The sequence below is a fragment of the Homo sapiens genome, chromosome 10, assembly GCF_000001405.40.
Source record: "Homo sapiens chromosome 10, GRCh38.p14 Primary Assembly".
NCBI lineage: Eukaryota > Metazoa > Chordata > Mammalia > Primates > Hominidae > Homo > Homo sapiens.
The window spans coordinates 74,359,189-74,383,965 of record NC_000010.11 but is presented as its reverse complement, the minus strand read 5'-3'; the positions used below and the strand labels follow the sequence as shown (position 1 = coordinate 74,383,965).

Here is a 24,777-nt window from a genome sequence, read left to right as displayed (position 1 = left end):
TACCCCCAAAATATGGCACTTGACATACTGAAAATTTTAAGCTGAAGGAATTTGAGAACAGCAGGTGCAGGAAGGACTTTCTGATTTCCTCTGAAGCAAATCATAAGACCATCCATGTGAGAGGATGTTTACTATATGCAGAAAAAAAGAACATCCTTATCTCAGAAGATGTAAGGACATGAGATGAATCTAAACAAACAGGTCTTGCTAAGGTCCCCTCAGTTTACTACTCTTAGTTCATACCCCTTTTTGTCCTATTGCCTTTCCCTTCCACTCTTCATAAAACCTAATGTAAAAACACCAGGTTTAATTGTTTCTTCAAGTCTTCATTTCCCTCTATGTTACATAAAACTTAGAATATAAATTAGTGTACTTAACTTTTGTTAATCTGTCTTTTGTTACAAGAATCTTACAGCAGAGAACTTAGAAGGAAAATATTTTTCCTCCCTCACAACTACAAATAGGAATTAGGGGATATATGAGGCTTACGTGGGATAGCTAATTTTCAGAAGAAGATGAATGGCAGAGAGGCCGAGAAAGAGAGAGAGAGAGAGAGACAGAGACAGAGACAGAGACAGACAGACTGACTACTGGAATCAGAAAACTAAAAGTTCAGTATTCCAAAAAGTCTTAGAATCAAAATGCTTATAATCTCTTACTCAAATCTGTATTCTAAAGATATAGTATTTCCTAAAGTACAGAATAAAAGTATGCTGCATATACTCTATCTAGAGGTATCATTAACAATATAACCAGTAATACAGGTTAAAGGTTCAGCATAGAATCTGGCATAAGGTTGGCAGAAAGTAAATTTTAATTATTATTATTATTATTACTGTTGTAATTATTGTAGCAGTATCACTAATACTATTGTTATTGTTACTTCTAAGTCAAATTGTTATATATCTAGAATACTAAGAAGGAGTATGAATCTTATTTTCTAAGCTTTGTTAGTCTGCTTGAAGTCCAGGGGCCCCTATCATTGCAGGGTATGTGTGAGAGGAGGGGGGGAAAATCCAATAAACATCCTGAAATTGTAAGGAAACTTTGCTGTGTTTTTCAAGAGAGGATTCACAGATTTCATTAGGTGACTAACACGGTCTAGGCCACCTACACCAAGGGGAAGTGAGGGAAGAGTGTAGGCAGAACCCAGATATAGCCAGTGAGGAAGCCTTTTTCTTTTCAAGAAAAAGAGCAAAAAGGTTACAGAACTGAGTCAAATTCATCAAATTAAACAAGAAACTCATTTAATCCAAAGCTATTTACCAAAATTTTAAAATACTGTATCTTATAATTTTAAAAAAATTGTGTTACTGAAACTTTCACTCAATTTCTTAAGATTAACAAAAATGGATTACAAAATAGCATGGATTTATCTCCAAAGGTCTCCAAAACTAGGGATAAAAAAATAACACAGCACCTGGTATGGTGTTACAATAGGTGTCAAGTTTTAATTCAATGTGACTTTCATCAGAACAAAAGAATAGGCTGTATATAAAATAAGAAAGAAAAACCACCAAGGAAGTTTATTGTGGTAAATTAAAACCAGGACAAAACGGTGAGAAAGGGCCAGGTGCGGTGGCTCACACCTGCAATCCCAGCATTTTGGGAGGCTGAGGCCGGCAGATGGCTTGAGCTCAGAAGTTCGAGACCAGCCTAGGCAATGTGGTAAAACCCCATCTCTAGAAAAAATACAAAAATTAGCCAGGCATGGTGGTGTGCACCTGTAGTTCTAGCTACTCAGGAGGCTGAGGTGAGAGGATCGCCTGAGCCTGGGAGGTAGAGGCTGCAGTGAGCCAAGATTACATCACTTGCACTCCAGCCTGAGTGACAGAGTGAGACCATGTCTCGAGAAAAGAAAAAGGAAGGTGAGGAAAGGAAGAAACCTTTAGAGAAACACCACAGTGATCTTTAGACATAAGAATGTCACTCAAATGCATCTGCCCAGAAATTCTACAAAATCCACAGAGAAGCATGCCAACTAATAACCAAAGAATAAGAAAAGAATTGAGAAAATCCTTCTCCTTTACTTTTTCTAGTATACACTTTATAAAAAGCAAAATCCCTCAAGGCAGTAAACATCTGCCCAACAACACTTAACAGCAGCAACATCAAAAACGTAAGGCAAAGGTCAAGTCAAAGTTTATTGACAATGATGAACTATGACAGCCTCTATTAAATTACCCCTTCCTTCAAGGTGTATGTGATCAAAGCAGCAAAGATATTTTCACTCAGTCACATAACAAGCCATTTGCTGAGATTGAAACATCTGGTCAATATCTCCTAACACTGCAATTTCATGCACAGTTAGCATTAGGGCACATTTCTTCTACTCTTCTTACAGGGTCCATAAGGGTGGCACATATGGCTGATCATTTCATTCAAAAAGGATTCAATTCAAGGCATTACACACAATCGTCTGTGCTTTATGGTGTTTTAAGTCTACCTGCCACAGTTTTCCATCATCATTGCTGACTGCTGTTCTCTTCCACTATAAAAGCCTGCAAATATGACAAAGCACTTAAAGCTTAACAGCTTTCCTCTACCTGAGTTAGTAAGCATTTAAGGCAAAGGAATCTATAAAGTGGCAGGTCATTTTCTATTGTCAAGAACTCCCAATACATGAAACTATTTACCATTTTATTTACCATTTAGCAAAAATCTAATACAGATTAGAAAAGTAATTTTTAATGTCAAATCAAATACTTAACTTTCTGCTTGACAGATCTACGAAAGTACACTCTTTTGGCTATGATTTTAAGTTATAATAAACAATTAGAAAACAATATCATAAAACATTTAAAAATTTAATTTTAACATATATTAACAGATTTTTTTTAACTTGACAAAGAACAATTCTATACCAGAGAAAATCAGAATGTTACAATTTTATCAGTCCCATACACTGAAAATTTTCCACATGAAATTCATGCATTTGTTGTCATGGTAACAGAGCCCTTTCTTAAACACTTACAGTAGTAAACTTGAACTCACACCATAGATTTCTCTTTTTCCCTTTCTTCCTTTAGTATAATACCTTCAAAAGAAAAACAGGGTGAGGGTGCGGGACAACTTTAAAGCTATTGTTTCATATTTCCTTTGACACATTTCCCTGACAGGTAGTATGACTATATGAGTATAATTATTTTCTGAAATTTAAGATTTTGCCTAGAAGCTAATAGCTAAATAAAAAAATGTGTTTTTTTTTGAGACAGGGTCTCACTCTGTCGCCCAGGCTGGAGTGCAGTGGCACGATCTCGATTCACTGCAACCTCTGCCTCCCAGGTTCAAGCGATTGTCCTGCCTCAGCCTCCCAAGTAGCTGGGACTACAGGTGCATGCCACCACACCCAGCTAATTTTTTGCATTTTTAGTAGAGATGGGGTTTTACCATGTTAACCAGGATGGTCTCAATCTCCTGACCTTGTGATCCGCCCGTCTCAGCCTCCCCAAAGTGCTGGGATTACAGATGTGAGCCACTGCGCCCGGAGAAGAACTATTCTTCTCATGATAAAGAAAAACAACCACCTTACAATAAGGAACATGCAATGACTGATTAAGGGAAGCGAGTATCAAAATAACAAGGTTAAATTAAAATCTAAATTAGATACAATGTCCAGGACTGCTACTTCAGCATATAATGATTTATTTTGTTTGTTCATTTGTTCATTAATTGAGTCAGTCAATCCAATCTAATGATATTTATAAAGATAGTTCTAAGGGCCAGGTACCATCCTGTTACTTGACCACAAACTTGAACAAGTCAGGCTGGTCCTTATTTTCATGGAGATTCCACACAATATAAAATGCAAAGCATAGCAAACAAAAACATTACACAGAAATAAAATGCATAATTGTAAGAAATGCTATGAAGAAAAAAATGTTTGAGAAAGACAAAGAGTGGGAGGCAGGCAAAGAAGGAACCAATTATTTATTTTTTTAGAGATGGAGTCTCACTCTGTCACTCAGACTGGAGTGCAGTGGTACAATCATAGCTCACTGTAACCTTGAACTCTTGGGCTCAAGTGATCCTCCCTGCCTCAGCCTCCTGTGTAGCTAGAACTACATGTGCAAGCCATCAAACCCAGCTAATTCTTCAATTTTTCAGAGACCAGGTCTCTCTATGTTGCCCAGGCTGGTCTCTATCTCCTGGCCTCAAGTTATCCTCCTGCCTCAGCCTCCCAAGTAGCTGGGATTAAAGGCACTCAGCTAAAATATATTTTAAATAGACAAAAGGACATTTAAACTGAGACGTGAAACATGCAAATGAGCTGATTGGGTAAAGAGTGACCTTACGGTTAGGGGAAGTTTCCAGAGGGAGGAGCAATGCAAAGCATCTGAGGCAGGAAAAACTTTGGCATATTAAAACAATTTAACACCTGTATGGCTGGAGCTCAGGGAGATGAAAACGGTTAGAAAAATATGCAGTTCTAGATTATGTGGGCCTTGTTGGTTATATTAAGAAGGATAAATTTTATTCAGTGTAATAGTATGTCACTGAAGGATTTTAATCAAGAAGGTGAAATTATCAAATGTAAAGTAAGATCATTTTTGCTACTGTGTATAACTGGATTGGAGAGGCAACAAGACCAGTGAGAAGAGTGTTATTCACACACCACATCCAGTCCATTTGAAAAGCCTGTTCTCAAACTATTTCCAGATTTCAACCACTTTTCATTAACTCCACGCTACCACCCATCCAAGTTACCATAACTGCTTGCCTAGACTGTTGCGATGATTTCCTAACCTCTCTGCTTCCATCCTTGACTCCACGCACATAGAGCTGTCCTTTTTAAATGCAAGCCAAAGTATGTCATTCCTTTGTTCAAAACCCTGTAATGCTTCCAACAACACTCACTAAAAAGCAAAAATCTTTACAATAGTCTATGAGGCCCTACAGGTTCAAGCCACTTCCCTTTACCTCTCATTGCCTCTCTAACTCCATTGTCTACTATTCTCCATTACTCTGCTCCAACCACTCTGAACTCTCTACAGGATTTTAAACAATTTTTTAAATTTTTATTTTATTTTAGAGATGGGATCTTGCTATGTTGTCCAGGCTAGATCTGAACTCCTGGGCTCAAGCAATCCTCCCACCTTAGCCTCCTGAGCAGCTAGGACTCCAGAAGCACACCACCACACCCGGCTCCCTACTGGATTTTGAAACACACCAAACATGCCCTCCTTTAGCAAATGCCAACCCCTCCACTGAACTGGATTTCCCCCAGAAACCCATATGGATCCTCACTCATCTTGAAAGTCTTTACCCAAATCTCACCTTCTCAATAAAACTATTTAACATTGTAAAGTGTTGCTTCTGTTCCAACATTCCCTATGCCACAAACACTCTTCTAATGCATTCTGGAACCTGGCATCATAAGTATTGGATAAACTGTATCTTAAAAGATCAATGTAAAGAAATTATAGTATTATTTTAATAGATACCAAAAATTTATTCTGGTGATATTCAAAACATACTACTAAAACAACATAATTATACAAGAAGAAAATTATACTAAAATAAATATTAGCTATTCATGTTATTGTAGGATGCATGTTATCACTGCTATTTTTTAACTGTTATGGCCTATATAATTACATCCTAAAATTAAAGGCCTAAAATATGAAAAAAAGGGAAAGCACAATATCACAATCTGCAAAAGATATGGAAAAATTAAAAAACAAACATCTGCTTTCTTTTTTTGAAACAGAATCTCACTCTGAGTGCTTTGGCATGCTCATAACTCACTATAACCTCAAACTCCTGGGCTCAAGGGGCTGGGATTACAGGTGTGAGCCTCTGCTCCCAGCCCAAATATGTAGTTTCTGATTATTATGGGAAGTGATTCAATCTTCATTATAAACCTATGAGGTAGACACATGATCTCCATTTCATAGATTAAAAAAAAAAAAAACTGAGGCACAGAAAGACTAAATAACCATCCTAGGGTTTAATTTGAGACACCTCATCTCCAAAGCTCAAGTGTGACAATTCTATACTAGTCACTGAAGAGGATCACCCAAAAATTTTATTAGATATTTGTGAGATAAAGTAAAATCCTAAGTGCCCCAACCTACTGAACAGATGTCTGTGGGCTAAGGAGGCCCCAGAAAAACTTTAAAAACGAAGTTTCCCGGCCTTGATGAGATAGGAGGTTGGTCACGTCTCAGTATACACTCTTCCTCACTACCTGTCATTAGACTATTTTTCCTAAGAGTTAAACAAACACCAGCCCTGGAAAAGAAAGAATGGAAAATTCTTCCACTGACCAACTGCCTGATGTTGTGGCCAGATTCCCCTCCCTTTTCATGGTTTTGACATGACTGCTGACCAACTTACAAAGCAATCCTTCCTGATAAACGACAATTGACCATGGACTGGTCAGTTTACAGAGAATGTGCACAAAGCACCTTTGAGTCCTAAGTTTCACCTTTGATGTATAGAGTCTGATTTTACCACATTTTTAATGTTAAGTCTCCATTCCAAAGCGAACATGGGACATATGTAACATGTTATGTTTGCTTATCATACATACATGTAACCCCTTTCATGAATACTCATAGCTCCTCCTATAACCTGTTAAATATGTATGTTCAGCTAACCCATTTAGTGTAAAACTCCTCTCTCACCCATCGTCTTTGAAATGGCTACTTTTGATCTAATCCAGAGGCTGTGCTTCCCAGCCTACAGGTTGTAACCCTTCTCAGAAATAAAGTTCTCTTTTCCAGATTTACAGATCTCATGATTTTTAAGTTGACACAGTAATGAGAGTTTGGTCAGATGTCCAGTTACTAAAACACATGCTTTAAAAATCTTCTCAGATACCAATAATAACCTACTAGAAAAACAGTAAGGAAAATGTTCTATATACAATAGCAGAAAGAAAACCAGACAAACAAAAAACCTACACCTGAACATATTGATTAATCTCAGCATCATTAAAAGTGGAACCACCAGATATGATGGCTCACAGATGAGATAAAATGGAAATGATGGAGCATCACTTTAAGAAGATTCTTGCCTAAAGAAATAAAACCTGAGTTTAACCAAATCTCTAGCTCAAATTCTCAGCAAATACTAAATATGAAGCAACTAACCAAATTCAGAAAGTGAGATATTCTCCTGGAAAAATAACACAGTTTCTCTTTTAAAAAAAGGTCAATGACAGTATTAAAAAAAAAAAAAAAAGACGAGAGAGAGAAAAGCAGTAATAATAAAAGACACAAGGTACAAATATAGTGTTTGAATTCTTTAGATGCTGATTCAAATAAACTTACTGTAAAAGGCTATTTTTGAAACAATTATGAAATGCAAATCTAAATTGGATATTAAATAGCAGTAAGAAATTACCATTGTGAATAATATGATGGTGGGTTTTTTGAGACCATTCTCAGGCAATCTAGAGCATTTGAGGATGAAATGATAAGACATCTGGGACTTGCTTCATAGGAGAGGTACTTAAATCAGGTTTGGCAAATGTAAATAATTACTGAAGCTAGATAGAGAATAGAAACGTGGAGCTCATTATACCTACTATTCTTTCTCTGTGTATGTTTGAAACTTTCGATAATAAAAAGCTATGAAATAAATAATTAAAATGAAAAACTTGATATATGATAAGAAAACAAAAATGTACCCTAAAATGTTATTTCTTCCTAAAGAACCTACAAATTCCAATGTGATATTTTGAAAATATCAATATGATTTTTAAATTCATGTGGAAGAATAATAAGAAAGTACCTTCTGAAATAGATGAGTAATAATGATGGGATTAAGGGAGCAGTTTACTACCAGGTATTAAAATGTATTATTTGTTAATTGCTTTAGAAACAATTTGGTACTAATATACAGATCAACAGAAAAATACAGAGTTCAAACACGGATCCAAGTACCTATGGCAATATAGTATTAAAATAAAGGTGATTTTTTTTTTAGACGGAAATGAGGGAATTAGTACATTAAGCTGGCATAAAAACAGAACCATTTTCAGGGAAAAAAAGAAAAGTTTTTCCTGTCACACTTTAACCAAAAGTGTAAAAACAACAACAGCAGCAACAACAAAAACCCCACACAAATGAAAAAACAAACCAAAACAAAACAGAACCCATAAAGGTATTAGAAAATTCAGCCACTTATTTTAATAACCAAGACAGAGAAAGATTTTCTAACTTTGGCACATACACCAACTACTACAAAGAAAAATACTGATAGCTTAGACTTTGACATAAAGTGAAGATACCATAAAATCTTTGAAGAAGCCCCCTTTGCCACTCTCCTGGTGCTGCTGAGGTAGGACCAGCAGTTTAAAAAAAAAAATGGCTCTTGCCATTCTGGCCCCCCTTGACTGACTCTAATAAGAGGCTACAGCTTTGAGCCTGCCTATCAGCCAAGTGTAAATAGGTAGTAACAACTGTATCACGGTCCAAAATGCTGATTGTGAAGACAGGTAAATCAAATGACAATTTCCCAGGCATATCCACATCTCTGGAGAGTCCATATTTTAGCCTGCCTACATCCATTCTTGCACAACTACAATTTTTTTAAAGGGCAATGATATAAACACTAACAAACAATAGACATATATATTCTCTAGCACAGTAACCAAAGAATGGCAAATGAAAATAATGAGAAAACATTTTTTATAATTTGACAGGCAAAGTTGTCATTTTTATATTAAAAAAAGCAAAAGGCAATTATCATTTATGGGGATGGTAATGCATCATTTTTTAAAAATCTGGCAACAGACATCTACAAACAATATTGGTAATTAAGTTTTTATAGGATAATTAAAATGTATAGAATTCTTTTACAAAAAAGATTTATATGCAGAAAGTGTAAGGGGAGTCTGATTCATACCTCAATTATAACATCATCAAAATAAAAATGTTACTGAGCACCCACAATAAAATTAGGAACTCATTAATCCAAGAGACTCTTATTATATCTAAAGTACTCTGTGAGGGAATAGAAGCACAAATAAAGTCATGAGAAGTTCATAGCTCTACTGGAGGAGTAAGCATGAAAACAACATACGAGGAGTGTTATAATAAAGGTACGAACAAAAAACTTGGAAAGCACCAAGGAATATGGGGTATAATGAAAAGGTCAAAGAGTAAATAACAGATATGCTGTTTCTTGAAGTTTGAAGATTTTACCAGGCGAAAAGAAGAAAAATAAACTAAAGTGAATTATACATAGAGAAACTCATACACACAAAAAACACAGAGAGACATGGGCATGCTTTCTCTGAATTTAGTAAAAGATGGGGTCCATAATAGCATATTTTATGAAGGACTAACCATGCATGACAATGACAAGCAGGCTGGGATCAGAGAGTTACCTGATCAATCTGTATTTCAGAAAGATAATTAGGCAACAGTGTACAGAAAACTAATCAAAAAATGGGAGATAATTCTCCCTGGGTCTCTGAAAATTATGATCGTGTAAAACTCATATCCACCAGTGAGGTTCCCAATGCTTAAAGACTATTTTCTTGTTTAGTAGTGATATTGACAAATAAGACATTTTACATTTGTAAGATATGCATAATTTAAGGAACAAAAACTCTGGCAAATGATTAATGTATCATGGTAAAAACATCACATATGGGTAAAATCCATTCAAAGGGTAAAACAGACCAATAAATATATATTCTTTATCAGCTCCTTAAGATATAATTCACATACTATGCAATTCATCCCTTTGAAGTGTACAGTTCAATGGTGTTTAGTATATTTGGAGTTGTATAGGCATCACCACATCAATTTTAGAACATTTTTCAACACCCCCCAAAAAAACCAGTTCACTCTTGAGTCATCACTTCCGAAAACCTCATCTTCACAAGTCCCAGGCAAACACTAATTTATTTTCTGTCTCTAAAAATATGCATGTTCAGGCCACTTCTCAGACATGGAATCATAAAACATGTGTACTTTTATGACTGGCTTCCTTCATTTAGCACGATATTTTCAAAATTTGCCCATGTTGTAGCATGTATCAGTACTTCATTTCTTTTTTGTCAAATAATATTCTATTGCATGGATATTCCAAATTTTGTTTATTCATTTATCAGTAACACACTTGGGTTGTTTCCATGTTTAGGCTATTATACATAATGCTGCTATAAACATTTGTGCAAACATTTTCATTTGTCTTGTGTATATACCTAGGAGCAGAATTGCTGGATATGGTAACTCTATGTTAAAATATTTAAGGAATTGCAAGACTCTTTTCCAAAAAGGCTGCACTATTTAACATTCCCACCAGCAATGCCTTAGGGTTCTCCAAATCCTTGCCAAAACTCTGTCCTTCTGATTATACCCATCATCCTAGCAGGAGTGAAATGGTATCTCATTGTAGTTTTGACTTTAATATACCTGATAGCTAATTATGTTGAGCATCTTTTTATGTGCTCCTTAGTCATTTGTATATCTTCTTTTGGGAAACTGCCTACTCAGATATTCTGCCCATTTTTTAAAGTGAGTTATTTGTCTTTTCATCATTATTGAGTCTAAATAATTCTTTATATATTCAAGATAAAATAGATATGTGAGTGCAATTTTCTCCCATTCTGTGGGTTGTCTTTTCACTTTCTTGATGGTGTCCTTTAAAGCACAAAACTTTCAAAACTTGATGAAATCTAATTTATTTATTCTTTTCTCTTATTGCTCATGCTTTTGGTGACCTATCTAAGAATCATTTGCCAGCTCATATCCCATGCCCAGTCATAAACATGTATCCCTATGTCTTCTAACGGTTGCAGTTTTAGTTCTTACATTTAAGTCTTTAATTCATTTTGAGTTAATTTTTGCATATGAGATAGGGGTCCAGCTTTTTTTTTTTCCCATATGGATGGGCAGGTGTTCTAGTACCCTTCATTGAAAAGACTATTCTTTATGCCATGGCACACTTATAGAAAGACAGGTTACCATAAATGTGAAGACTTATTTCTGTTCTCAATTCTATACCATTAATAGATATGTCTATCATTATGCCAGAACTACATATTGGTATGGCTTCATCATACGTTTTTTAATTGGGAAGTGAGAAACACAATTTTGGTCTTTTTCAAGATTGTTTTGGCTATACTGGGTCCCTTGAATTTCCATATTAATTTTAAGAGCAGCTTGTCAAATTGTGCAAAGAATTTAGCTGTGATTTTAGTAGGAAATTTATTTTAGATCAATTTGGGGGAGAACTGCCATCCTAAAAATATTAAATCTTTTCAAAATATCAACATTTAATGTCTTTCCATTTAGTTTCCTTTAATGTCTTTCAATGTTATGTAGTTTTTAGAGTATAAGTTCCACACTTCTGTTGTTATATTTATACTTAAGTACATTATTTCTTTTTAAGATATTTAAATGAAATTGTTTCATAACTTCATTTTCAATTTGCCCATTAATATTGCTCAAAAATCCAATATATTTTTCTATCTTGATATTTTATCTGTCAACCTTGCTGAATGCATTACTTTTTTTTTTTTAAACTGACATTTATTTTCCGTCAACCTTATTTCCATGTTGCTTAAGAGCGTGTGCAATAACAGCTTAAGACCTTTCAGTGTTTGCTCCTACCCATTCAATGGCCTGAGCATTGGGAGCTGTGGACCAGCCTTCCGTGGCAGGCTCAGCACTCCAGTCTTCAGTAGGGAACTGATGAATAGGCGCAGAGGGCACCTGCACACCTTCAGACCAGTCTGCAACCTCAGGCTGAGTAGCAGTTAACTCAGGAGCTGGAGCAGTCCATTCACCCTGAAATTCCTCCTTGGTCACAGCCTTTTCAGCAGCAGGCTGCTCTGCTTTTTCAGTCTCTTTAGGATCTCTGTAGAGATCAGGCATGAATTCCCATGGGTGTTCATGGGAAATGGTGCCACACGCGCGCAAACCTTCCCGGGCTGGCATCCACCACATCAAACCCATTGAGTGAGCTCCCTTATTGTTGCATAGAATGGCAATGTCCACAAAGTGCAGAGGAGAATCTGTGTTACACAAAGCAACGGTAGATAGGTTAACGTAAGATGCCTCTGTGAGAGGCTGGTGGTCAGCCCTGGGGTCAGTAACCACAAGAAGCCGTGGCTCTTGGAAGGCTGCCTGGATGTGGTTAGTGAAGGTTCCAGGAGTGAAGTGGCCAACAATTGGAGTGGCTCCAGTGGCAGCAGCAAACTTCAGCACAGCCCTTTGGCCAATATTCCTGGAGGATATAACACTGACATCAGCAGGGTTTTCAATGGCAACAATGGCACAAGCTGCCAGCAGAAGCTTCTCCCAGGTCCTCTTCAGATTTACGATGTGGATGCCATCACTTTTCCTTATAGAGATGTACTGTTCCATCTGGAAGTCAAGATTGGTACCACCTAAGCAGGTTCCTGCTGCAAGGAACTTAAGGACATCCTCCTCCTTCATTTGCAGGACATCAAGGGCTCCAGACATGGTGAAAAGTTTCGCTTTAAGCTACGATGGGAATCCAGAAAGAACGCCGTATGGACGTCTATGTGGGTAGTGTGAAAAGCCATTTATTACTTCTAATAGATCTGTAGGGGACTGCTTAAGATTTTTGTTTGGTATATAAGATCATGTTATCTACAAACAGATACAGTTTTACTATTTCCTTTCCAATATAAATGCCTTTTATTTATCCAGTTAAAGCATATGATTCAATGATTTTAGGTATAATCATACTTCTGTAACCATTACCACAAATCATTGTAGAACATTTTCTCACCCTAAGAAGAAACCTTGTACCCATTAGCAGTTACTCCTAAATCTTCCCATCTCCTTCCAATCCTAGACTGATTTTTCTAACATGTTTCCAACATGTAAACATAACACACTTTAATTTTTCCTTTCCAAACCCCAAAGTTGCAATAGCTAGTATATACTTATAAATGATTTCATTGAAAATTGATCTTTCATCATAATGTGTTGTTTGAAAAGGAAACATCATGATTAAAAACACAGGAGATGATCAGTACAGATATCCTGAAACTAACAGTATAAATACATCTCCACAATAAAAATTGCAAAACCCTACTTTGAACTCACCATAAAATTATTCTACATAATCAAAAATATTTATCAAAAGTTTACCCTAGCCTGGGTGCAGTGGCTCACATCTATAATCCCAGCACTTTTGGAGGCCAAGGCAGAAGGATCACTTGAGCCCAGGAGTTCAAGACCTGGGCAACATAGTATGATCCCCATCTCTAAATTGTATTTTTTTAAAAGAAGAAAATTTATATAATAAAAAATTGATCAAATATTTATAATAAAATATTTTAAATACTCTATCATAATCACACATATTTCAAACTGCCAGCAATGATCTAGAGGGCCAACTATATATCAGAAAGCCTGTAGAAATCTGGCAAAAAGGTAAAAAAGATGTTGCTTTCTCAAATTTTAGAGGGCTAACTGAAAACATTAAGTTAGTAGTCAAATGTATTTAACAAGGAAAGCAGATGGTCAATGTTATGATTATTTAAGCTAGTTCTGATTTCCTAATAACAATAATTGCTATATATGAGGTTATGGGAGAAAACATACACCATATTCATAACTTTTCAGAGATGTTCAGTACTTTTTAGAGATGGATTCATCTTAGGATTAAAAATTGAGGTGAGTTCAGACAACTCATTCACTGTCATATGAACATAAATTCCTTTAGTTTGTTTTTCTAATTTGTTTTAACAGTAGTATAGGGATTTGAATTAACAAAATTAACTGTACATATTTAAGGTGTACAATTGTTTAAGTTTTGGCTTATGTATATAGCTGATGCACAATTAATCAATTTTAAACAGATCATTCTATTAGTATCATATGTAAAGAATCTGCACACTTATTTTCATTCAGTAATGTTTTTACAGTTTTCAGAGTAAAGGTCTTCCAGATCTTTTGTCAGATTTGTCCCCAAGTATAGCCTATTATTTATGTGATAGAAAATATTTCTTCTATTAAATTTTAATTTCAAATTTTTGTTCCTAGTACAGAAAACTACATGAGTTTTAAATACTGATCTTATATTCTGCAAGCATGCTAAACTCAATTATTCATTCTAGTACCTTTTTGTAGATTCTATAGAATAATATACATAGATGATCATATCACTGAAGTATAATGATTGATTTACTTCTGTTTTTTAATCTAGAAGCACTTCTTTTTCTTAACTAATTGCACTGGCTAGAACCTGCAGTACAGTATCGAACAGAAGTAGTGAAAGTAGACATCCTTGTCTTATTCCTGATCTTAGTGAGAAAGCATTCAGACATTCACCAGTAAATATAATATTACCATTGGTTCCTTATAGATGCTAATTATCAGGTTGAGGAAGTTCCTCTCTATCACCAGTTTCAGGAGTGATTTTATGAGGAATGGATGTTGGATTTTATCAAATGCTTGTTCTGTGTCTTAAGAAATAAACACACAAATTTTCTTTAATCATTATTTTAGGTGAAGGATAAGTACAGTACTTGTTACTTCATCTTATCGAAAGCAGAGAGCCCCAACTTCCTTTAGATTTAATGAATAAAAAAATACTTAGACTTCATGAATGCAATCAACTATGCAAATATACAACTCATATTTGTTAGATAAAGAACTCTTCTAACTCTTTTTGTGGTACTGCTCTGTCTCTGAGGCTGGAGCACAGCGGCACAATCATGGCTCATTGCAGCCTCTACCTCCCGGTCTCAAATAATCCTCCCACCTCAGCTTCCTCAGTAGCTGGGACTACAGGCATGCACCACCACACCTGGCTAATATTTGTAATTTTTGTAGAAATAAAATTTGCCATGTTGTCTTGGCTGGTCTTGAGCTCCTAGACTCGAGCGATCCACCTGCCTTGGCCTCCCACAAAGAGCTGGGATTACAGGCATGCTCCACCATGCCAAAGTAGTAACTCTTTATCTACAGTGAATTAGTAGACTCTTAAGTAAAATGGCTAAACTCAGCATAAATGGTTACCAACACCCTGGAGAAAAATACAGTACTGTAGCCCAATATACTGTATGATGAACAATAAGAATATTTCAGACAGAGGCAGGATGCGGTGGCTCGTGTCTGTTAATCCTAGCACTTTGGGAGGCTAAGGCAGGCAGATCACTTGAGGTCAGGAGTTTGAGACCAGCCTGGCCAACATGGTGAAACTCCATGTTTACTAAAAATATAATTAGTTGGGTGTGGTGGCGTGTGCCTGTAAGTCCCAGCTACTTGGGAAGCTGAGGCAGGAGAATCACTTGAACACAGGAGGCAGAGTTTGCAGTGATCTGAAATGGGGCCACGGCACTCCAGCCTGGGCAACAAAGTGAGACTCTGTATCAAAAAAAAAAAAAGAATATTTCAGACAGAAACTTGAAGTAGATTAGTGAATTCTGGTAGAGCTGGAGTGTAAATAAGACCATGAAACCACTAACATTTATCATGATTATGTTAGAAGTATCTGATGTGTGATACCATGAAGAGGTAAATGACACACAGCCTCTACGTAGTAAATGTTTACCCTAGAAGAAATTTAGAAACATTAAGTTAAAAAAAAAAACACTGCAAAAGGTTAACTATAGCTGGGCATGGAGGCTCACATCTCTAATCTCAGTACTTTGTGGGGCCAAGATGGGAGGATTGTTTGAGCCCAGAAATTCAAGACCAGTCTGGGCAAGAAAAACCCTGTCTCTACAAAAAATACAAAAATTACCAGGCATGGTGACATGTGCCTGTAGCCTGAACTACTTGGGAAGCTGGGGCAGAAGAAGCACAGGAGGTCAAAACTGCAGTGAGCCATGTTCATGCCACTGTACTCCAACCTAGACAACAGGTTCTGCCTCCTGCAGAATTATTGTTCCTGGGAAAAAGACAGGGTTAGTTTCCTGAAAACCTCTCCAAACATCATCTTGGTCAACCAATGCCAATACATAATTTCTAAAATGTATGTTTCTGTTTAAAGATTCCGTATTTTAACAATTTATATTTACATCTATATATAATTATATTTAACTATTTATACAGATATTGATACTTCATATTTGATTTATTAACAATAAACTCACAGTCAACAGCAGTGTAACTCATGCCTGAACCAAGTTTGTCTATTACAGATTTTTATTCTCTCAGGTGTATCACAGCCTTCTTATGCTTAGAAACACTAGACAGCATATCTGCACTATGCTTGGGAACCATTTTAAACAGAAAAATCAACAACAAAAAATGTGATTAATATGGCACTAAATACGCATTGAAAAGGACACTTGTTTACAGTATGACAGCTGAAACAAGGCAAACCATCACCTTCTTTGACCTCAGAGAGGAATGAACACATAAGGTAACTCAAAATTTTTGCTTCTCCAAATATGTTTACAAATGACTGCAAAAGCACCGAGTACTGGTTTTGGATTTACAAGTACATTTTAGTGAGTAGGTAAACTCACACATGCAAAGCTTCTGAAGAATGAGAATCAATGACCATGGCCTTTATCAACATTTTATTTAAGTGTCTCTTAACCATTTTTGAGTTTTAGATTCTTTTGAGAGTATGATAAAAATCATGTATCCTCAGAAAAATTCATGTTAAAAAACTGTAATTTCATGGACTTATGGACCTCCTGAAGTCCATTCCAACTGACAATCCATGAAACATAGTTTTAAAGTGCCAGCTTTAAAGACTCTAGGCAAAGAAGTTTTTTAAAGCATTCTTCAAAAATCATTTTAGATATAAACCATTGCTGAATGTGCTGAATATGAACTCTTCATATTTACAAAATAGTCACTGCTATACATTTTCTGAGTGTATAGTGCAACAATGATCAGGGTTTAGCAACTAAATTAAAGCTGGTTTCATGGAGGATATAATGCATTTGCAGTTTTTATGCTTTCTATAGCAAATTTTTCTTATGGAGTACTAAAGAATCTACAGAACATAAGAAGAAAAGCAAGACATAAACTAATTTAGAGCGCTTCTTAAAATGCTCCAATTTGTGGGAATGAACACATACAATGTGTGGTTTCATAGCACATTGATATTTGGGCGTTTTTGTTTTGCTTTCTGAGACAGGGTCTCGCTCTGTTACCTAGGCTGGAGTGCAGAGGCACAATCTTGGCTCACTGTAACCTCTGCCTACCAAGCTCAAACAATCCGCCCACCTCAGCCTCCCAAACAGCTGGGACTACAGGTGTGTACCACCATGCTTGGCTAATTTTTGTATTTTTTATAGAGATGGGGTTTCACCATGTTGCCCAGGCTAATCTCGAACTCCTAGACTCAAGTGATCCACCTGCCTCAGCCTCCCAAAATGCTGAGATTACAGGCATGAGCCACCATGCCTGTATGGCACACTGATATTTATATCAGATTTATAATTTTTTTTTGGTTCTCTATGTATGACATATCTACAAATGTTGATTGTAATCCAGGATCTCTTTAGTCTCAACGAAAATTTTATTTGAAAGACTGCTAAAAACAATTTTATTTCAGATTTGCAACTGACAAATTAACCTAGCAATTGTTTGGAAGTGTTAAAAAGAAAGCAAAAAATATTTTTTTTAAAAAGTAAACATCACAGAAATAAGTATCAGCAATTTGTTCAATATCAACCAATGAAGGCTACTTAATTGGCAGAGGAAATGACACCCTTTTATTAATTGCATTTTAGGTTATAAAGAAATGCTAAGCAGAGTGTTCTATATTAAAACTTTCAAGACGTACTATTTTAGTATAAAGACTTAAAATACTTTACTATGTTTTAACTACAAAGGATCTAGAGATGCTGATAATATTCAAGTAATTATGAATAACAAGACTATAATAATAGATAACATCAAAAGTCAAAATATGGCTCTGCTTTGATAATCATTAAACCTGGCAAGGTTCCAGGTCTGATCACTTAAAAGGTATTTCTTGGTTAAAAATAAAACTCAAATAAAAAACGGGAAAGTAAGTTGAATATACATTTCTCCCAAAAAGATGTATGCATGGGCAACAGGCACATGAAAACATTTACAATATCATTAGTCATTAGGAAAAGGCAAATCATAAATACAATGAGATATAACTTTATACCCACTGAGTTAGATATTAATAGTATTTAAAACTGGAAAATAAAATAACAAGAGTTAGTGAGGATGTACACAAACTGGAACCCTCATAAGTTGCTGGTGAAAATTTATCTTATTGTAGATGTTGTAGTAGACAGTTTGGCATTTCCTTAAAAAGTTAAATATAGAATTACCATATGACCCAGCAATTAAACACTCTTCCCAGGTATTTGCCCAAAATGAATCAGCCAAAGCATTTAGGTAAGACAAAGAAATAAAGGGCATCCAAATTGAAAAAGAGGAAATTAAATTAGCCTTGTTCCCAGACGAAATGATCTTATACTTAGGAAAACCTAAGGACTCTACAAAAATGAATCAAAATCAGGCATTCAAAAGGCAGAAACAACTCGAATGTCCATCAATTGATGAATGAATAACAAATGTGGTATAGCTATACAATGGAACATTATTCAATCAAAAAAATGAAGTGCTAATATATGCAACAAAATGGGATGCACCTCCACGACATTATTCTAAGTAAAAGACCAGACAGAAAAGGTCACATATAGTGATGATTTCATGTATATGAAACCTCCAGAATAGGTAAACCCACGGACACAGAAAGCTGATTAATGGATGAACGGGGCTAGCTGGAGGGGAGAATGACAAATGACTGCTTGATGGGTATGGAGTTTCCCTTTGGGGTGATGAAAACTTAGAATTATTTAGAAATTATGGTTGTGGTTGTGCAGCATTGTGAATGCAGTAAATGCCACTGAATTGTATACTTTAAAATGATTTCACATTATATAAATTTTAAATCAGTTTAAAAGTTTTCTTAATGATAAGGCTGTTTTTAACCTAAATGTTAACATTAATTACTGAAGCATTGTAAGGAAATGGTATTACAAAATTTGTTTCTTAGTAGGGTTTTCAGTAGCTCTATGGAACACAGACTGGAGGACAGCCAGGCTGGATGTACGGAGAACAGAGGAAAATTGTCCTGTAATCTAAAAGAGAAGTGAATAAACTGGAGAAAGGGAGAAAGAAAGTGTCAGGAAAAGACTGTGGGAAGTAGTGATCACTACTGTAGATTCTGTAAAACTCCCAGGAAGATAAAAGAGAAGAAATCACAAGTAGTACCTGACACTCCAGCTTAGTGTTAGAATCCATTGGAATTCATTTGAAAGAGGTTGCTAGAACACACACACACACACACACACACACACACACACACACACACACACACACACACCATAGCCTTTGCCTAAAGATAAAGGAAAGGAAAGGAAAACATTAGAAGAGCTGTAAGAGTAGGAATTGCCAGCTGTGGAAAAGGAAGAAGAGGAGCCAGAAAAGAAGAAAAACCTGAGGGAAAAGGTATCACATAAGCTAAGCAAGACAGGAAAAGTTTCAGAGTTATGGTAAGGTCAACACTGATAAATGCCAGAGATAAGTCAGACAAGAACTGAAAAGTGTTCACTGGATTTGGCAACTAAAAGGTCATGGGTGACTCGTGCCCACTGGATTTTAAAAACGTGGTGAGAGCAGCTGAATGCATCAGAGATAAAGAAGTGTGAACTACACTGTCAAGAAATTCAGCTGAAATGAGGATAGATAAGGCGAATGTTGGAGAGTTTGCCTGTTTGTTTCAATAGTGGGATAGGAGCACATTTACAACAAAGTTAGCAAAGATCAAGAAGAGAACAAGGTTTGAGATTAGACTCAAGGCATGAGAAGAAAATATAGATAAAAGGTTTTAAATATAGAAGGAAAGAAGGGAAAGACCTATTCCTCAAATATGGGTAGCAATAAGAAGGTACAGGTATGAATTGTAATTAAGTGTGGTTATGTATAATACACCAAAAATACTTAATGATTCAAATGATTGCTTACTAGAAGTTGAAAAGTTATCTCCTGTGGGTGTGTCTCTGAGTCAATGAGACAAGGGGCTCCAGACTCCATGCCACAGATCCCAAGGGAGGCCCCAGACTCAGCCTCAGCTCCTCCTGCTGCAGTAGGGGATGCATCCTATCTGTGCAGAAACAGGAACCTGCTGGGAGATGGGTGCCCATTTGAGCTAATGAGACAGGCACGCCAACCTCCATCCCACAGCAGATCCTCAGGTGGTCCATTCTCAGCTCTGACCCTTCTTGCTGTGGTCTGAAAATAATTCTGTGCAGAGATCTGCTGGAAGAGGGGTATCTGTCCGGGCAAACAAGACAGGCTCTCCAGATTCTGCAACACAGGAGATCCTGAGGGAGCCCAGTCTCAGCTCCAGCCTTTCCTGCTGCAACCAGGAAACTATCTTGTCTACAGGGTCTACTGGTGAGATGCATGCTCAGACCAGGTTCTCCAGCCACCATCCCACAGCAGATCCTGAGAGGGTCCAGTCTCAGATCCAGACCCTCCTCCTGCTGTTAGGGAACCCTCCTGTCTATGCAGAGACCTGCTGGGAGACATACGCCCATCTGAGCCAACATGACAAGCACATCAACCTCCATCCAACAGCAGATCCCAGGGTGGTGCAGTTTCAGCTTTGGCTCGTCTCACTGCAGTTGGGGAAATATCCTGTATGTGCAGGAACATTCAGGGCGATGCACACCCCTCTGAGCCAAGACCAGGCTCTCAATCCTCTGTCCCACAGCAAATCCCAAGGGGGCACAGTCACACCTCCAGCCTCTCCTGCTGTAGTCAGGGAATCATTCCATCTATGGAGGGACTTGCTGGGAGACACACGCCCAACTGGATCCATGTGACAGGCATATCCATAGTAGATACTGAAGGGGCCCAGTCTTGGCTCCAAGCCCTCTTGCTGCAGTCAAGAAACTGCCCAGATACTGGGACCTGTTGGGTGATGCATGCTAATCTGAGCCAATGAGGTGAGCCAATCAGCCTCCTTTCCACAGTAGATTCCAAAGACGCACAGTCTCAACTCCAGCCACTCTCTTTGTAGTCAGGGACCTATCCCATCTGTGCAGAGATTTGTTGGGAGGCATACCTATCAGGACCACTAGGAGAGTCTTCTGGCTTCAGGTGTCTGGACAGCATTCCCAGGCAGCCCAACTACCTCCCTTGGGTCTTCCCGAGGTCCATCTGGGCCAGAAAGCTGTGTCAACCTTGGTGCCCTTGCAGGACTCAGAAAACCTGGGCTTAAAGCATACTCTAGTGCTGAGATGGCTGTAATTGGTCAGAGGCTCAGAGAATGCAATAGTAAGTCAGCTTTAGAATCCCTGGAAGGCCTCTTGAAGAAGGACAGGCACAAACAAAGCCAGGCTGGGAAGACTAAAATAAATTACAAATCCCTCAATGCTCAGACATCATCACACTTCTAAAGCATTGAGAACATTTAGGGAAATACATCACACCAAAAGAACAAAATAAGGTACCACAGACTAACCTGAAAGTGACCGAGATATGTGATCTCTCCAAAAATTCAAAATACCTGTTTGAAGACAGCTCAAAGAACTTAAAGAAAACATGAAGAATCAATTCAGAAAATTATGAAAGAAATATAAGAGACTCAAATAACTTTTTTAAAAAACCAGAAATCCTGCAACTAAAAAAAAAAAATTAATGAAGCGAAAATCTCAATAGAGAGCAACAGAAGCAGAATTAACCAAATAAAAGAATCAGTGAGTTCAAAGAAAAATGATTAAAAATATGGTGAGAAGAGAAAAAAAAAGAAAAGGAAGCAAGCAAGCTTACAAAATCTATGGGACAACATCAAAAGGGCAAATATTCAGGTTACTGAAGTCAAAGAAGGACTGAGAAAGACAAAGGGGTAGAAAACTTATACAAGGAAATGATAACAGAAAACTTTCCATACCTGAAAAAAGATATAAATATTCAGGTAGACTAAGGTCAAAGATCACTAATTAGATTAAACACAAAGAAGACTACTCTAGGACACATTATAATCAAACTCACAAAGGTCAAAGGCACAAAGAAAAACTTCTGAAATCACTGAAAGGAAAGAAGTAAATAACATGCAAGGAAGATCCAATATGCCTGGTAGCAGACTTATCAGCAGAAACCTTATAAGCCAGGAAAATGTGGAAGAATATATTTGGAATGCTGGTGGAGAAGAAACTGTCAACCAAGATTACTGTGCTCAGCACAATTATCCTTCAAAACTGAAGGAGAAATAAAGACTTTCTTAGACAAACAAAAGCTGAGGGAATTTACCATAATCAGACTTGTCCAATAAGAAATGCTTTAAAAACTTCTTCAAACTGGAAGAAACACTAAAATGAGTGTTATATTAATATTGTATTTGCAGTGTTTAAAACACTAATATCTGTAGTAAGACGACTAAAAGACAAAACTATTAAAAATAATAACTACAACAATTTGTTACAAGATAGGCAATATAAAAATGTGAACTGTGACATCAGAAATTCAAAATGAAGGGGGAGAAGGAAGTTAATGTTCACTTTTGTGTGTTTTTTTTCCAATCAAAGTTAAGTTGATTATCAGTTTTAAATACTTGCTATAACTACAGGATGTTTATTTATAAGCCTCTTGGTAACCACAGAGCAAAAATGGATAAAAAGCAATAAATTAAAATGTACTCTTAAGAGAAAATCACCTAACCACAAAGAAAGACAGTAAGAAAAGAAGCAGAAGAAAAGTTAAAAACAACTAGAAAACAAGTAACAAAATAAGAGTAGTAAAACCTTATCTATCAATAATACTGAATATAAATGAACTAAATGCTCCAATTAAGACACAGGATAGGCCGGGCGCAGTGGCTCACGCCTGTAATCCCAACACTTTGGGAGGCCGAGGCGGGTGGATCATGAGGTCCGGAGTTTGAGACCAGCCTGGCCAACATAGTGAAACCGTCTCTACTAAAAATACAAAAATTAGCCAGGCATGGTGGTGCACGCCTGTAGTCCCAGCTACTTGGGAGGCTGAGGCAGAAGAATCGCTTGAACCAGGGAGTTGGAGGTTGCAGTGAGCCGAGATCACACCACTGCACTCCAGCATGGGGGACAGAGTGAGGCTCCATCTCAAATAAAACCCAAATAAAGACACAGGGTGGGTGAATGGATTTTAAAAACAAGACCCAGATACATGCTGCCTACAAGAAACTCATTTCACCTATAAAGACACATAGATGCTGAAAGTGAAGGGATGCAGAAAGATATTCTATTCAAATAAAAACCAGAAAAGGGCAGGAATACCTATAATTACATTAGGCAAAATAGACTTTAAGTCAAAAACTGTAAAAAGGGACAAAGGAGATCATAATATAATGATAAAGGGGTCAATTCAGCAAAAGGATATAACAATAGTAAATATATATGCACCCAACATTGGTGTACCCAAATATATAAAGCAAATATTATTAGATACAAAGGGAAAGAGAGAGAGAGAGAGCATGAGAGAGAGCAAGTGTGAATACATAAGAGCAAGAGCAAGAGATAAATACAATAATAGTAGGGGATTTCAATTTCCTACTTTCGGCAATGGACAGATCATCCCAACAGAAAATCAACAAACACTGAAGTAAAAAACTATACTCTAGACCAAATAAACCTAAGACATTTACAGAACATTTCATCCAACTGCTACAGAATACACATTCTTTTCATCAGGACATGGAACATTCTCCAGGACAAATCTTATATTTTTAGTTTAATAATACATTATTAGACTAGAAATATAAAAACATCAGTGTTCTTATACATAAGAAACATAAAATGTTCTTATAAGAAATGTAAGAACATCAGTGTTTAACTTCAAACAGTGAAGCTAAACTATACTCTAGACCAAATAAACCTAACAGACCTTTACAGAACATTTCATCCAACTGCCACAGAATACACATTCTTCTCATCGGTACATGGAACATTCTCCAGGAGAGATCTTATACTTCTAGTCTAATATATTAATTAGACCATATTATATTAGAACTGGTAAGTGAATTTATTAAGTTGTCAGATACAAAATCGACATACAAAAGTCAGTAGAATTTCTATACACTAAGAGCAACCAACCTGAAAAAGAAATCAAGAAAGCAAACCATTTACAATAGCTACAAAAAAATAAAATAACCAGGAAATAAATTTAACCAAGCAGATGAAAGATCTATACAAGGAAAATTATAAAACACTGATGAAAGAAACTGAAGAGAAAAGGAAAAAAAGACATCCCATGTTTTGGAATTGAAAGACTGTTGTTAAAATGTTTTTTTCCTTTAATTACACTTCTTTTTCTTTTACACAGAGATAAGATCTCTCTCTGTTGCTCAGGCTAGAGTGCAGTGGCATGATTATAGCTCACTGCAGCCTTGACCACCTGGGCCCAAAGGATCCTCCTGCTTCAGCCTCCCAAGTAGACAGGACTACAAGTGTATGCTACCATGCCTAGCTAATTAAAAAAATATTTTTTTGTAGGGACGGTCACGCCATGTTGCCTAGGCTGGTCTTGAATCCCTGGCCTCAAGCAATCCTCCCACTTCAGCCTCCCAAAGAGCTAGATTACAGGCATGAGCCACCATGCTCGGCCTTGTTAAAATATCTTTACTAACCAAAGTGAGCTACAGATTAAATGCAATCTCTATGAAAATACCAAAGGCATTCTTCACAGAAATAGAAAAAACAAATCCTAAAATTCATATGGAACCACAGAAGACCCCAAATAGCTAAAATAATCCTGAGCAAAAAGAGAAAGCTGCGGCATCACACTACACAAATTCAAATTATATTACCAAGCTACAGTAACCAAAACAGCATGGTACTGTCAT

The 24,777-nt window shown here is 36.7% G+C and overlaps 1 protein-coding gene and 1 pseudogene across 15 annotated transcripts in view; both read right to left on the bottom strand.

The window, feature by feature from the left end:
• The window catches only part of ADK (adenosine kinase), a 558,070-nt gene that overhangs the window by 325,325 nt on the left and 207,968 nt on the right, over positions 1–24,777 (bottom strand). Inside the window, exon 2 of one of the 15 annotated variants that reach the window (XM_017015699.2) lies at positions 2,995–3,037. The exons of 13 other annotated variants lie outside the window; for them this stretch is intronic. In XM_017015699.2, the coding sequence (XP_016871188.1) occupies positions 2,995–3,037 (43 nt within the window). Of the gene's footprint in view, positions 1–2,974; positions 3,038–24,777 lie in introns of those variants that run through there. One more of the 15 variants, XM_017015703.3, reaches the window with a different exon arrangement.
• RPSAP6 (ribosomal protein SA pseudogene 6) lies at positions 11,480–12,501 on the bottom strand (annotated as a pseudogene).